Source organism: Homo sapiens, chromosome 1 (genome assembly GCF_000001405.40).
Source record: "Homo sapiens chromosome 1, GRCh38.p14 Primary Assembly".
In the NCBI taxonomy this organism is placed as follows: Eukaryota; Metazoa; Chordata; class Mammalia; order Primates; family Hominidae; genus Homo; species Homo sapiens.
In genome coordinates, this window is record NC_000001.11 from 225,074,156 (window position 1) to 225,091,263 (window position 17,108).

At 36.9% G+C, this 17,108-nt stretch overlaps 1 protein-coding gene across 23 annotated transcripts in view; it reads left to right on the forward strand.

Annotated features, from left to right (window-relative positions):
• DNAH14 (dynein axonemal heavy chain 14) overlaps positions 1–17,108 on the forward strand; it is a 469,633-nt gene that overhangs the window by 144,502 nt on the left and 308,023 nt on the right. For 22 of the 23 annotated variants that reach the window (XM_011544062.3, XM_011544067.3, XM_017000296.2 and 19 more), the window contains 4 exons: positions 5,052–5,393; positions 6,224–6,593; positions 8,394–8,584; positions 11,389–11,634. In XM_011544062.3, the coding sequence (XP_011542364.1) occupies positions 5,052–5,393; positions 6,224–6,593; positions 8,394–8,584; positions 11,389–11,634 (1,149 nt within the window). Of the gene's footprint in view, positions 1–5,051; positions 5,394–6,223; positions 6,594–8,393; positions 8,585–11,388; positions 11,635–17,108 lie in introns of those variants that run through there. The other variant, XM_011544076.2, reaches the window with a different exon arrangement.

Below are 17,108 nucleotides of genomic sequence, written 5' to 3' on the forward strand. Positions count from 1 at the left end.
CGCCCGGCTAATTTTTTGTATTTTTAGTAGAGACGGGGTTTCACCGTTTTAGCCGGGATGGTCTCGATCTCCTGACCTCGTGATCCGCCTGCCTCGGCCTCCCAAAGTGCTGGGATTACAGGCGTGAGCCACCGCGCCCGGCCTGTCTTAGGAAGTTTTTAAACCTCTGTCCGCTGGAGAACACTGGTGGGATTGGCTGGAGAACCTGGTTTGGAGAGTCCACCCAGTGAGGAGGAACAGATACGGGACCTACTTAATGAAGCAGTCTGGTCATGCTTTTGTAGAGAAGCTGTGCTGTGCTGTGCTTCTGCCTCTGCCCCCGATTGGCTTGGGCTCTCCAAAGCCAGTAGGCTGGAATGGCTAAGGGGCCCAAACAGCAAAGATGGTGGCCCACCCTTCCCTTTGGGAGCTCTCTCCCAGGGAGTTTTCTAATCTCTATCACATGGAGAACACCAGCGGGGTGGCTGGAGGCCCCAGTTTGGAGGTCTTGCCAAATGAGGAGGAACAGATAAGGGACCTGCTTAAGCAGTCTGGCCACCCTTTGGTAGGGTAGCTGTGCTGTGCTGGGGAACCCCTTCCACCTCCAGTCAGTTTGGAATCTCCAAAGCCGCAGGCTATAGTGGCTAAGTTGCCCAAACAGCAAACATAGTGGCCTGCCCCTCCTTCCAAGAGCTTCATCTCAGGTGCAACACTGCTACCTGTGGCTGGCTGGAATTCCAAGCCACTGGATGTTATCCTGTGAGGCATCGTGAAAGTAGCACCCCCAGACTATCACTGCTTGGTGCCCTGGATTCAGCTTCTTTCCTAGGGGTATATATGGGGGTCTAACCTCCCACTTTGCCAGCATTGCAGTTACTTTTGCTGGAAAGCCTGGAGCTGGACTATCTAAAGCTCCTGGGTTTCTGTGCATACCTGAGTGACTACTCTGCCAAGACTCCATGTAGCTCTGTGTGTCAGACTGAAGGCCCTGGTGAAGTGGGTTCACAAGGGGTTCTCCTGCCCCAAGGGTTGCAAAGATCCATGGGAGAAGTGTGGTTTCCTGTGGTCACACATTCACTCACCACTTCCCTGGGTGGGGGAGGTTCACTTGGCTCTGTGTCACTCCTGGGTGGACCATTGTCCTTCCTTGCTTTTCTCTGTTCTCCGTGGGTCGAGTTGTTTCCTTTATTAGTCCCAATGCAAGTACCTGGATGTTTCAATTGAAGGTACTGTATTTACTCACCCTTTTCATACCTCTCTGTGAGAGCAATGCATTCTAGCTGCTTCTAGTCAGCCATCTTGGCCACTCCCTCCAAATTCTTAAAAATTATTTAAATCTCTTTGTTAAATTTCTAAATTTAGTCATTTATTATTTTCTATATGTTGTTGAGTTGTTCCTGTGTAATCTTATGAAGTTTGCTAAGCTTCCTTAAAATAATTATTTTTAACCTGGGTGTGGTGGTGTTTACCTGTAGTCCCAGCTACTCAGGAAATTAAGGTGTTGTTATTGAGTCCAGGAGTTCAGAGACAACATAGTGGGACCCTACCTCTAAAAAAAAAGTTATTGTGAATTATTTCTCAGTCAGTTCATACAACTCTATTTCTTTAGGGTCAGGGATGGGTGCTTTATTTTGTTCCTTTGGTGATGTCATGTTTTCCTAATGATTTTTTATCCTTGTGGCCATGCTTTGGTGTCTGTGCATTTGAAGAAGTAGGTAATTATTAATTACATACTTTGCAGACTGGCTTTGTCTGGGAAAGCCCTTTACTAGTCAGCCTATCCAGATATTCTGGTGAGACCATCTGGAATAGTTCATGGGCCAGCTTGCTGCTACAGCACTTAGGCTGGCTGGTCCAGCCTAGGGCCTGGATCCACTTGGGTGAACCTGTTGACTGGGTCTGCTGGCATCTGCCTTGAGCTTGTATCCCTGGGGGCCAGCCTAATGCTTGTGACTACCAAGGGTAGTGTGGTGCTAGGTGGGCTTAAAGCCTGGGGTCACTGGGCTTAGTCTTCCACGGAGGGCTGTCTGGAACCCAAGGCCACTGAAGGTGGCATGGTAGTGGGGAGAACCAGAGACTGAGTCCAACATGTGGGCCTCAAAACATGGGACTGTGGGGTATAGTCTGGTGCCAGGGTGGGTCTGGAGGCTCAATCTGTGAGGACCAGCTTGGAGTTGGGTTATAGGTCCCTGCCTGGTGCTGAATTTTACTGTGATGGGCCTGGTATTGGAATAAAATTGTCCTTCTTTCTGTCTTCAGTGTGCCTTTTCTTATTTCTATGCTACATGCAGATATTGTCATCTCTCACTTGATTTCCTTAGCACTTGTGAAGGTACTTTTGTACATGGATAATTGTTATAGTTGATGTTTCTACAGGGATATGATTGCTGGAGAGTACGATTCCACCGTCTTGCTCCCTGTTATTATCTGCAAAGCACTTAAACAGTTCTTGACCCACATAGTGACACTATGAACCAAATTTCTATAGTAAGAAAAATGATAAGTTTTGGTTCCAGAAGGTTGTTTCTGAGCTGTTTTTCAAAGAATCTGTTCTGAAAGTTCTGTTTATTCATCCTCTTTCTGGCTGCTCTTTGTCCTGGGTGTATTTATATTTCCTGAGGGTTTTGGTAGCTTCCCTTTGTAAGGTTAAATAAAATACCTTCTTTTTTTTTTATTATACTTTAAGTTCTAGGGTACATGTGCACAATGTGCAGGTTTGATACATAGGTATAAATGTTCCATGTTGGTTTGCTGCACCCATAAACTCATCATTTACATTAAGTATTTCTCCTAATGCTATCCCTCCCCCAGCCCCCAACACCCAACAGGCCCCGGTGTGTGATGTTCCCTGCCCTGTGTCCAAGCTGGAAACCATCATTCTCAGCAAACTATCAAAAGGACAGAAAACCAAACACCACATGTTCTCACTCATAGGTGGGAATTGAACAATAAGAAAATACTTTCTATTTTTAGTTTGATAAGAGTTTTTATTATAAATGAATTTTATCAAATGCTTATTCATTACATCTATTGAGATAATCTTGCAGTTGTTTTCCTTTAATCTTTTTCTGTGGGGAGTTATATTAATTGACTTTCTAAGGGTAATCTCACATCCAAATTGATAGATTTACCTTACCAGCATGTGCATACACAAGCTTACATATTATTTTTAAGATTTTTGTGTTTATGTTTATAAGTGAAAATAGTCTATAATTTTCTTTTACCATCCTTATCTGGTTTTGGTATCAATATGTTACTAGTGTCATAAATGAAGTTTGGGTATATTTTACCTTTTTATATTCTCTTGGTTTATATGAGATTGGAATTATTTGGTTGTTTGTGATATAAATGTGTATTTCAAAATTTTTTGGGCATTTAATTAGTATTTGTATTGGAGTCTAAATAGTTATGTTTACTCAGTCTACTGACACGATCATTCTTGGTGCACTTTCCATATGCCAGGTACATTGTAAGTCTATTACTGAATTATTTTATTTGATCTCCAAAGTACAGATGAGGACAATAAGTTTATCAGAATAAAGCTATTTGCTTAGGTTCACACAGTTAGTAAATACTGAGGCTGGGATCGAAAATAAGTTTCTCTGATTTTAAGGCCTCTTAATATAAACTCTGTGGCAAAGAGACACACACATGCCCCATAATAAAATTTCTGATGGATTAACAATGGTAATCTCTGGGTAATGGAATAATAGTTGACCATCTGATAAACTTTTCCATCTTATAAACTTTTTTGTATTGTGATTTTTGCATGAACATTTATTTTAATATCAAATTAGACACACACATATGTGAAATTAATTCAAGGCTGTAAAGATTAAAAATTGAACTGACTTTCATACCAAAATTACATAAAATTATGCAGGCATACTCCTTAAGAACCCTTGAAACATGAAAAAATATGAAAAAATTTTAGTTCCAGCACAGAAATGCAATTACTTCAAGCATTTTATGGAGTAATTTATATACACTTTTGACAAGTATGGTTATAAATATAATAGATATAAGTATGGTGGAAAATAATGGGACGTGGAATCAATTTGGGTTTGAATCACAGTTGTATAACTTGCTACATTTCTGATCTTGGTACAATAAACCCTCTGAGACTCAGTTTCCTCCTGTGCAATTAGAAAAAATACCTAATTAGCAAATATACTATCTGAATAAAGTATGATCATGTACGTAAAGAACCTATCACATACATGCCCAAAAAGTTGTAGCATTTATTATGCACCGTTCACATTTCAGTCATAATTTGCCATTTGTATTACATTTCTTGAAAATTGTTATTCATAACTTACTTATTTTATGTCTTAATAGCATCTATTTTATATGTGGAATACATTCAAGTGTCTTTTGTTAACAGTAGAAGGATTTGGTCATGTTAATGCCCCAGTACTTAAATAACACTTAGAATTATGTCTAGATTATGTGATATGGTTTGGCTCTGTGTCCCCAACCAAATCTCATGTCAAATTGTAATCCCCACATGTTAAGGGGGGTCACTGGTGAGAGGTGATTGAATCATGGGGGTGGACTTCCCCCTTGCTGTTCTCGTGATAGAGTTCTCAGGAGGTCTGGTTGTTTGAAAGTGTGTAGCACTCCCCCATTCTCAATCTCTCTCTCTCTCTCTCTCTCTCTCTCTCTCTCTCTCTCTCTCTCTCTCTCTCTCCCTCTCTCTCTCTCTCTCCCTCTCTCTCTCTCTCCCTCTCTCTCTCTCTCTCTCTCTCTCTCTCTCTCTCTCTCCCCGCTTTTCTGCCTTGGTAAGATGTGCTTGCTTCCCTTTCACCTTCTGCCATGATTGTAGATTTCCTGAGGCCTCCCAGCCATGCTTCTTCTACAGCCTATGGAACTGAGTCAATTAAACCTCTTTTCTTCACAAATTACCCAGTCTCAAGTAGTTCTTTATAGCAGTGTGAGAACAGACTAATACATGATGTTTTAATTATTTTCTGAAATTAGACTTATATAAGTCAGAGAAATTAAAAAGAGTAATTAGTCTTCCAAAATGATGAAAAGTCATTACACAATTATAATTGACATGTTGATTTCAGGTTGTGGAATCATCATTGCAGCAGCTGGAATGTGATCCCACTGAAATAGAAGAATTTCTGGAGCATTTTATTTTTTTGAATGCAATTTCCTCAAAAATATCTAAATTAGAAAAAGAGTTCTTAACAATGTCTCAGCTATATTCTGTTGCAAAGCATCACCAGATCCATATTTCAGAAGAGCAAATTGCCATATTCCAAGTTCTTCTTCTTAAGTTTAGTCAACTAAAATCATCTATGAAGTTAAGTAAAATAAATAAAGACACTGCTATAACTAAATTCAGAGATAACTTGGAAGCATGTATCAGTGGTCTACATGTTGATGTTGGCAATTTAAAAGCCAAGGTAAGTTTTTAGGGTTTTTTTGGATTTTTTTTTTATTAAAAACTTGATCTTAGTCTCGTAAGTCCAGGCATTTGGGTATTTGCTTTCAGTGGAATTTTGGCTAAATAGTTTAATACAAGTATTCTTTTTTTTTTTTTTTTTTTGAGATGGAGTCTTGCTCTGTTGCCCAGGCTGGACTGCAGTGGCGCAATCTCGGCTCACTGCAAGCTCCGCCTCCCGGGTTCACGCCATTCTCCTGCCTCAGCCTCCCGAGTAGCTGGGACTACAGGCGCCTGCCACCACGCCCGGCTAATTTTTTGTATTTTTAGTAGAGACGAGGTTTCACCGTGTTAGCCAAGATGGTCTCGATCTCCTGACCTCGTGATCCACTCGCCTCAGCCCCCCAAAGTGCTGGCATTACAGGCTTGAGCCACCGTGACCGGCCAATACAAGTATTCTTCAACTGGAATTCACAGACAGAATTTTGGTGATTTGTGAACCTGAAAGGGAAGTAAAATTACATTTCTATTTTCACTAATTTCTAACTGGAACTTAGCATTTTCTCAACTATGAATGAATGTAGGCAACAAACAGCAGCATGGCTGGTGACTTTTACCATAGGCTTCAAGAGACTGCCAAATGGGCTCATGGCATAAAAGGGACTAAAACCCCCTGAAATCTTTCTGGGCCAATCTTTATCTTTGTCTGGGCCAAATGGTAATGATAGTTCCAGTTTCACTCACTTATCAGGTAAAAGCCTAGATTATATACTAAAATGCTTTCACTGCCAGTAAAACAGTACGTTCTAGACATACTGATTTCTCTTAGAAAGTCCTACTCTTATTTTTTAGATAAGAACTCCTCTTCTGTTATGTGCTGGTACTCAAGTGTCAACAGCAATGGAAATGATCCAGACTCTCTCAGGGGAAGCTGCAAGTTTAACTAACAAAGCTAAAGCATATTCACATTATCAGGATTGTTTCAGTGATTCTCAATCTCATATGCATTCTGTTAATGTGGAAGAAATTACACAGATTGTGCTTTCAGAGATCTCTGACATTGAAGGTGACTTGACTTTGAGGAAAAAACTATGGGAAGCACAAGAGGAGTGGAAGCGAGCCTCTTGGGAATGGAGGAATAGTTCTCTTCAAAGTATTGATGTAGAATCAGTACAGAGAAATGTTTCAAAACTGATGCACATAATCTCGGTACTAGAAAAAGGTAAAAATGTGTTTCTCAAATTTTCCCACCTAGGTCTATATACCAAATGGCCTTTGGACATCAAGAGCATTGTCCTTGGCTTGTTTCTTTACCCATTCTCAGGTTGACCATTATGGCTAGAGCTACAATACAGGAGTATAGGTAGGAATTTCACTCAGGCAAAAAAGAGATTAAGTCCTTGTCAAAAAAGTTTTGTTAAGAAATTAACAATTTTTATGTCCTTTAAAAGTTGGTTCCCTGCATAGAACCCCAGCTACCTCACCCTGAGTATGGCCCTTCTTAGGGCACTGGTCAGAGATGTTTTGATGATAAAGGACCATCTGCATAATCATTCATTATCTTTTGGGCAGTGGGTAAACAGCTTAAAGAGTAATTTTTAGAGGTTTATTTTATTTTAATTATCAAATTTGAAATCTTGCCAATGCAAAGATACTGTTTTTGTGAGAGCATTTCTATAAGATCAAATCCTTTCCAAAAGGGATATTTTGTTTCACCTGGCCAAGAGAATATCTTTGCTTTTTTTAAAGACTCCTCCCCTATCACTCAGCTATACCTTAAGCTAAAATTTCTTCTCCAGAAAAGCCAGACAAACACTTTATTTCACTTGTTTTAAAATTATTTAAGAAATATAACAGTAGCACAAAAGTTTAGAAAAGAGAACAATTGGGGGCAAATCATAGTCTCAAGGCTTTAACATAACACTGATTGTGTGCATCCCCTCTCAATATTTTGTTATATACGTGCTTCGGAGAACAGTAAAGTAACAACTAGACGACACCTTCTTTTACCCATGGTTCCCCAGATAAAATCTTGCTGTTTGCCAAAGTCTAGACTGGCAAAAACTAAAGTTACACTCTTGACCTTCTATTAATCAGGTCTTAAAAACATATTACTATTTAATATGGCTTTATAAAAGAAGCCCCATATATACAAATTGGTTTTTTGAGTGTATGGGTGAAGTTTTCAGTTCTCTTGAGTCCCTAACTTTGGCCCCTCCTCTTTATTTTATAAGTTGAGTAAAAAGGTTGTAAGAGTTGAACCTTCCACTCCATAGGTTTTGAATCCTGTACTTCAGTGGTTTGTCAATGCCAGAGGACAGACTAGTGCTGGTCTGTGGCAAAGCTGTCACCTACATTTCCTACATTTTGGTGTTAAAGTATTTTTTAATGAAATTGTAGTGATGGTATATTTTTTCCCTTGATGTTCTTCCATATTTACCAAAATTTAAAAAACCCAAACCAGCTGAGTACTGTGTCTCATGCCTGTAATCACAGCACTTGGGGAGGCTGAGGTGGGCGGATCATTCGAGGCCAGGAGTTTGAGACCAGCCTGGGCAACATAGCAAGACCTCATCTTGCTATGTTAAGATGTTAATTAAATAAATAAATACCCAGAATCTGTGACAGTCTTCTGAATGTTTGTGGTGTGTGTGTGTGTGTGTGTGTGTGTGCACATGCGCATGTACCCATTTGTCTGTATATTTATCATGTCAGTGAAAATCTGGGAAACCTGTGGTAGCTGGCCACTCCTGGTATCAAATTTTCTAAGATGATTTGGTTGTGATAGTTGGGTTTTAGTCACCTGTCCTTATAACTATTTCTCTTATTTTAATGTATAGTTGATTCTCATGGAAGGGTAATGTTAATAAAGCTCACTGCTTCATGTTATTTTAATGTAGTTTAATAATTGATAAAGTAGTTTTTAACAAATTTTAAAGAAAAAAATCTTATTTTCTCAATTTTTTTGGTTAAAAAATATAATGAACATATTATAAGCCTACTGACCCATTGTTATTTATAGGTTTACCTAAAAGCGATATGGTAACACATCTTAAGCAAGTGGTAACAGAGTTTAAACAAGAGCTGCCTATCATTATAGCTCTGGGAAATCCCTGTCTCAAGCCAAGGCATTGGGAGGCTCTCCAGGAGATTATTGGGAAGTCAGTTCCGCTTGATAAAAACTGTAAAGTAGAGAATCTTCTAGCTCTCAAGGTAAATAAAAATGGTTTTTTAAAAAAATAGGTTGAAATACCAGATGGGCCAATTTTAAATAGGCGAGTAAATATACAATGGATAGGAATTAGGAAAGGAAGTTTATAAGAGTGCCTGGGAAAATAATAGTACATTTGTAGAATAATAGGTGATAGGAAATTATTTAATTGGAGATATTGGGTAAGCTATTAATTATTCCATTATTATTTAGGTGATTAAACAGTAATACTGGTTTTCATGTATGACAGATAAAATTAGTGTTTCATTATTTAACAGTGCTATTTATACAGAATACATTTTATAGGAATGGAAATATCAAAACTATTGTATTCATTATATGTAAAATGAAAATATATTAAGAGCATGTAAGAATTGCCCTACCTTAACATATATATAACTTGACATTATATTTAAAATGCATAATAAACAACTATTTGACTTTCCATGTAAGTTTTATTATAAAAATATACTTTTTTCAATTTTTCCATGATTAAAAACTTTCTATTTTTATGTCTAACTTACAATAAGCTTCATTTATGTCTAATGTTTCATGGCTGACAACATATAATGTAATCAAAACATATTTTATACCTATAATTCTCTGCTAAATGATCTGTTGTAATGAGGAACATGAGCACCTTTTTTAAGAATTTAAAAAGAATTTTTTAAAAAACAACTTTTGTTTGTAAAACTTAGATTATTTTATATCGCCAGCCCTAATCTCAACTTTCTCGTGAACTCCAAATTCACATATGTAATCTCCTATTCAATATCTCTACTTATATGTCTAAGAAATACCTCAAAATTAACATGTCAAAAACATTCACCTTTCATTCTCCATCTCCCAAATTCTGCTCTTCCTCTGTGTTTCTTATCTCAGTTGATGGTAGCTCCATTCTTCCAATTGTTTACACTAAAAATCATGAAATAATTCTGAATCTTCTCTTTCATAATCCTCATCGTATCTAAATATCTCATCTTAGAGCCTCCTAACTGATATACATGCCCAACTGATATACATGCCCAAGAGGAATTCAGCAAGATAGCTAGGTGATGTCAGAGCATAAGAGCAAATACCAACAGATGAATTTATTTCAAATCAGCATGCATAAAATCTAGCACAATTTTAGTGATATTTTTATATCCAGTCTTGGGTTATTGGAACTATTCTTGGGTAAGTTAGATAAAGGGTGAGAATTTTGCAGACTAAATGTAGCAGCAAGCTATAAAAGTTAGGGTAGATAGGTACATATGATAGCAGCTGGTGGCCTACATGGGGTGGTGGCCTGTAATAACTCAAAGGGTTCCAATGAGCTATTACATGTCTAACATGAATAGATAGTTTAAAAAGGAAGTCCCATGCATTTTTTAGAGGTTCCCAATTAGGACAGTTTGACATGTGAACAAAAGTGAACAAGGTCTTCAGCCTTTGAAATACTGTAGTGAGGAGTTAGAGGAACCCCTTCTTCTTCTTGAAGATAATTATAATAATAGAAGGGATAAGGAGGCAATCAGCTGGTAATTTCAAGTGAACTCTAAGAGTTCCTGGATGATTTTGGCCATCCTGTAGAAATTTGACAATGTATCCAATATAATGTAGATGCCAAAATGGACAGGATTTGGCGCAGAAACTCAGCCTTCATTTATTAAAACTTGCATTTTGGAGGATTGACCCAGAGGTGGTGGTCATGCTGCAAAACTTTCCAAGATAGGTCATATTAGAAGTTCTATTAAATGAATAAAGTATGATGGCTTGCAGTTATATGACAACTATTTTGTCCAAGATGTTGTGCAGGCTCTGAAAAACCTACCACATGAAAAGCATTTCATGAAGTAAATTAAGAGCAAGAGCTCAATGGTATGCATATGATGAACACTATCATTTTATGGTTGATAATTTTCACTTTGGAAAGCCATATGCTTTATAATAAAGTTAGATAATTAACTACAATCATCAAGATTCAGCTGAAACCACCCAGCTATTATCAAGTCAGTTGGAAGATCTGACTATTTGTCAGTCAGGTCCCATACTTTAACCATAAAGACTTGACAAGGCTAGATTCACTTCACTGAAATTTTGCTTTACACATTATCAGTGTCTGCTGGATTGAATTTTTAGCAATCTCAGAATGTTAGCATTAGGCACGAACTTTGATGGTTCTATAGTTCCTTATCTGCCTTTGGCTGAATAATCTATGTCAAAAGGTAGGCTTCTTTCCCAAAGCTGTTGCTTAAGGCCATAAGAAGTAACTGATCCCACCATCCTTAATAATTCATCTTTGGCAAGCATATAAGAGAAATGATGAAAACTAGTCATATCTGTTCATAATCCCCACTGAGTTGCATTACTAAAACATAGGGATTGGGCATTATTCTTTAACACCATCGAGATGACATATAGGAATGGTGGTAGAGTCTTATCTACCAGGGATAAAACAATAAGTAAAAGCGTGTCACAAAGTAATTAAGCAGTTGGCATTAGGGCAGAGGAAAGAATGCTGAAGGAAATAATACCATCTACACATATACAGAAGGTGTATACTCTTTATAACTGGCTAGAATCAGAGGAAAGTTGGAAATTTTCACTGATTATGAAAAACGTGAAATAGGATGATTTTAAAGTGCAAAGGGATATGTCATGAAGGTTAGACCATGAAGTTGCTGGTAAGGATATAAACCTAACTGGAATTAGATCTTCAATATTTTTGATGTGCCTTTCAAAACTTGCATTTAAAATTTCCATTTTGGACATATCAGGAATTATTTGCTATACTGGATACTAAAGAATACTTTGTTCATTTTAGATGTTTCAGTATGAAAATGAAATAAATGATATGTCAACCTCAGCAACTAATGAAGCTGCTCTTGAAAAAATGCTATTTAAGATTATTGATTTTTGGAACACTACTCCTTTGCCTTTAATTCTTCACCACACAGAGATTTACTCTATCTTCATAATTCCATCTATAGATGACATATCAGCTCAGTTAGAAGAGTCTCAAGTCATACTTGCAACAATTAAAGGATCTCCCCACATTGGGCCCATTAAGGTAAGTATTATGGCAAAGGAAAAATGTTTTCTTTTTCTGTAGTTTTATTTATTATTTCAATCTTTTGCGGTCTACAGTTTGCCTTTGAATTGTATAAATCATTCATATACTTATATAAAAATTACAATGAATATTTACTAGTTTGAATACCAAAAATAACTTTTTGTAGAAGCCTTAATTGTTCATGAGAAAATGTCAAAGTTTAATTTTGGCAGAAAAGATAAATTTAGATCATAGAAAAATATGACCTTATAACCATGGCTTATCACCAGTGTACAGTGTTCCCTGATAGTCCCTCACTGAGCAACCCCACGTGTGGTAATACACCTAATAATAATAATAATTATTATTATTATTTTTTGAGACAGAGTCTTACTCCGTCACCCAGGCTGGAGTGCAGTGGTGCTGTCTCGGCTCACTGCAAGCTCCGCCTCCTGGGTTCACGCCATTCTCCTGCCTCAGCCTCCCGAGTAGCTGGGACTACAGGTGCCCGCCACGACGCCCGGCTAATTGTTTGTATTTTTTTAGTAGAGACGGGATTTCACTGTGTTAGCCAGGATGGTCTCGATCTCCTGACCTCATGATCTGCCCACCTCAGCCTCCCAAAGTACTGGGATTACAGGCATGAGCCACCGTGCCCGACCCCTAATAATTATTTTAAAATGTCAAGAAACTCAACATGACATGTGATAATATAGAGATAGTAAGTAGCAAAATTAACATAATCATATACACACACATATATATACATGCATCTATATAAATAGATGGGGAGAGAGAGAAAGTATATACACAACCAAGGGAACTCACATTATTTGTAATATTTAGGGAAAATGTCAGTTAATTGAAATTTTGAGGGAAAAAACTCAATAAATTACAGAAAAAAATAAACCAAATGGACTTTATTCTTTAATCACATGCAGTACAAAAAAAATGAACAGCAGAAAAACAGCAAAAAGGGCAGACAAAATAAAACACCCACAATAGAAATTTAAAAGCAACCATCAGAATATACAGGAAATGTAAGCTAATTTTTTAAAATTTAGAAGTAAGGAACAGGAGAAAATCACATTTCAAACCTGTCACAATTGGCTAAAGCCCTATGAAAATGAATATTTAAGCATTAAATGCCTTCATTAAAAATGAAAAGTGAATTTAATAAATGATAAATTAAGCACATTCAAGAAGCTGAAAAGAACACCACACACACACACACACACACACACACACACACACACACACACACAGCCTTCTACTTCTAAGCAAGATGGAGTTTGGGGACCAGATTTACCATCTGTCTTAGTCCACTTAGTGTTGCCTTAACAATACCACACACTGGATGACGTATAAATAAAAGAAATGTATTTGGCTTATGGTTCTGGAGGCTGGGAAGTCCAAGAGCATGGGGCTGGCATCTGGCCAGGGCCTTTGTGCTACATTATTATCCTATGGTGGAGGCAGAAGGGCAAGTGAAAGCACAAGATGGATAGAGAAAGGGGGCTGAATTCCCACAATAACTAATCCACCCCTGTGATCATGGCACTAATCTATTCATTAGGGCAGAGCCCTCATGATCTAATAACCTCTTAAAGGCCCCACATGTCACCATTGTTACAATGGCACTTGAGTTTCAATATGGGTTTTGGAGGGGACATTCAAACCACAGCACCGGCTTGCCTGAAGTAGCCAAATCAGACTAGACAAAATATATGGAACAATGGTTTTCGGGACACTGGACATCAGGTAATGAAGGACAAGGATCCCTGAGAGTTGAGAAACAAACAAGGTAAGCCCTGTGATTCTACCAACTTATTTCCTTGAGTTTCCAGACCTTGGAGAAGGAAGATGGGGAGGAGTACAGGCAGAGCCTGGCAGACTTCTGATATGAGGAGATGATGTTGAAGGTCTGGAGAACCAATGGAGGCTACAGTATTTAGGATAAACCACCAGGAAAGATAAAGCTGCGGAGACAGAGATCTTCATAGATTTGTGGCAGGCCCCTACACAAGCATTCAGCAGACCCAATCAATGACACGTGAAACTGCCAGAGGTCAGGGAAACAACCACTTGAGAAAATTAGAGGGAACAATGCCTGGTGCTCACACAGGGCTGGGAATAGTGCCTATATGCATGGTCAGAACAGAAAACCTCCTAATTCATAAGCACTCAGAGTCTTGCCACAGTAATATGGAATAACCAGTCCTGAATTAAATGTTGCTCCTGTCTTCCCTAACAGATCTTAAAAGCAAGACCTAAAATGATGAAACTGTAAGTGATTTAACTGCACCCAGAACAAAGCTCAAGACTATAGGAATATAATAATATCCAGTACACAATAAGGTAAAATGTACAATTTCTAGAATGCCATCAAAGATTAGTAGACATGCAAAAAAGAACCAAAAATAGAACTCATGATGAAAACTTAACCAATGGAAATTGAATCTGAACTGACACAGTTATTAAAATTAGAGAAAAGGACATTAAAATGGTTATAAATTTATTCCATATGTTAAAAAGTTAAGTAGAGAGGTAAAAATATAAAAAAGACCAAAATTAAACTTCTAGAGATGAAAACTACAATGTCTGAAGTGAAAAATACATTGGATGAAATTAACACAGATTAAACAGGGCAGAAGAAAAGATTGGTGAACTTAAAAATATAACATTGGAAATGATTCCATATGAAACATAGGTAGAAAGAGAAATGTTAAAAATGAAAAGAGCATCAGTGAGCTGTGGGAAAGCTTCAGACAACCTACTAGACAAATAATTGGAGTTCCCCAAGAGGAGGAGTGAGAGGGAGAAACAGAAAAAAATACTGAGAAAATAATGATCAGAAATTTTCCAAATGTTTTGAAAACCATAAAGACATAGATTTACACTCAATACATTCTAAGCCCAAGAAACATCATAATTTCTCAAAACCAGTGGGGAAAATAGACAAATGACCAATACTAGGAATAGAAGAGATGACATTACTACAGATTCTGTAGATATAAAATGTAAACTGGAATATTAAAAACAACTTTAAGTTAATTAAGTACTTAGATGAAATGGACAAATTCCTTAAAATACGCAAATTACTAAAGCTTACTCAAGAAGAAATGGATAACTGGAATAACCATTATATGTACTAAAGATATTTAACTGGTAGTTAAAAACAGTTTAAAACTTTCCTACAAGGAATAGTCTTGACCCAGATGGCTTGTGCTATTTCTTTTTAAGGAATTTAATTTCATTTAAGGAAGAAATAATACCAGTTATGCACCAACTTTTTCAGAAAAGTGTAGAGAAAGGAATCCTCCCTAACACATTCTATGAGGCCAGTATTACCCTGATACCAAAGCAAGACAAAGATATTATAAGAAAACAGGCTGGGTGCGACGGCTCATGCCTGTAATCCCAGCACTTTGGGAGGCTGAGGCAGGCGGATCACCTGAGGTCAGGAGTTTGAGACCAACCTGGCCAACATGGTGAAACCTTGTCTCTACTAAAAATACAAAAATTAGCTGGGTGTGGTGGCAGGTGCCTGTAATCCCAGCTACTTGGAAGGCTGAGGCAGGAGAATCGCTTGAAGCCGGGAGGCAGAGGTTGCAGTGAGCCAAGATCGTGTCTTTGCACTCCAGCCTGGGCAACAAGAGCAAAACTCCGTCAAAAAAAAAAAAAAAAAAAAAAAGAGAGCGAGAGAAAGAAAAGAAAAGAAAAAAGAAAACAGATTTAGAAAGGAGATATTTAAAAAATTTTTAAAAACTAGAAATCAATAGCCCTCTTAAATATAGATGCAAACATTCTAAAAAAATATTTCCAAATCAAGTCCGTCAATATACAGAGAATGTTGTATTATTACCAAGAGAGATTAATTTGAGAAATGCAAGGTTGGTTTAACATTCAAAAATCAATCTACAATTTGCCATATTAAACATAAACAGGAAAAACAGAAGATATTCTCAGTACATTTTAAAAAATTTTTTACAGAATTCAACATTCATTCCTGATTAAAATATGTCTCAACAAATTAAGAATAGAAGATAACATCCTGAATAAAGAACATCTATGAAAAACATTTTGTCCTTAATAGTGAAAGACTGAACGCTTTTCCCCTAAGATCAAGAATAAGGATGTTCTCCCTTACCAATTCTATTCTACATTTTACTGGAGTTTCCAGCCAGTGTACTGAAGTAAGAAAGAGAAATAAAAAATGTCCAGATTGAAAAAGAAGAAGTAAAATATCATTTGTATTCCGATGACATGATTACCTATGTAAAAAAATCAAACAAAATTTACAAACTAAATAAAACTTATTTTAGCAAGTTTGCAGGATACATGATTAGTATACAAAGTCAAATTCATTATATATACTGGCATTGAGAAATAGCATAAAAATAAGATATATAAACCTGAGAAAAATGTATAAGATCTGCACACAAAAAACTTCAAAACCCTGCAGAGAGAAAGAAGACTTAAAAAATGGAAGATACATTGTGTTCATCCATTGAAAGACCTAATAAAGATGTCAAATATCACCAAATGGATCTCTAGATTCAACACAATCCTAATCAGAATCCTAGCAGACTACTTGTAGAAATTGACAAGCTGATTCTACAATTCTTGTGGAAATGTAAAAGTCCTAGAATAGTGTAAACAATTTTACAAAAGAAGAACAAAGTTGGAGCATTAAAACTACCTATTCAGAGGCTCATTATAAGGCCACAGTTATCAAAACAGTATTTTTTGGTTTAAAGATAGACAAGAAAGAGAGAGTACAGAAATAGACCCACATACGTATGGACAACTGATTTTCAACAAATATGCAAAGATAATTCAGAGAAAAAACAGCCAATTTTTAAAGAAATTGTGCTAGCATAATTGAACAATCATATGCAAAACAAACAAAAAACTCTTAAGCCACATCTTACAACATACACAAACATTTAACACATAAAAGGATTATGGACCTAAATGCAAAACCTAAAACTATAAAACTTTGAGAAAAAACATAAGAGATATTTTTGTGACCTTGCTTTAGGCAGATTTCTTCAATATGGCACCAAAAGCACTATCCATAGAAGGAAAATTTATGTATTAGATTTCATCAAAATTAAAAATTCGTGCTCCTATAAAGACACTTTTAAGTGAATACAAATATAAACCAGAGACTGGGAGAAAATATTTGTAAAGCATACATCTGATAAAGGACTTGTATCCAGAATATATAAAGAACTCTCAAAATTCATTGATAAGAAAACAAAACAATCCTGTAAAGAGATGGGCAAAATATTAAAATAGAGACTTTACCAAAGTGGATATATGAATGGATCTATGATTCATTGGTTTTCCTGAAAGAGAGGGAGAGAAAGAAAACAACTTAGAAAACGTATTTCAGGATATTGTTCATGAAAATTTCTTCAACTTTACTAGAGGCCAACACTCAAATTCAGGAAACACAGAGAACCCCTGTGAGGTACACTACAAGA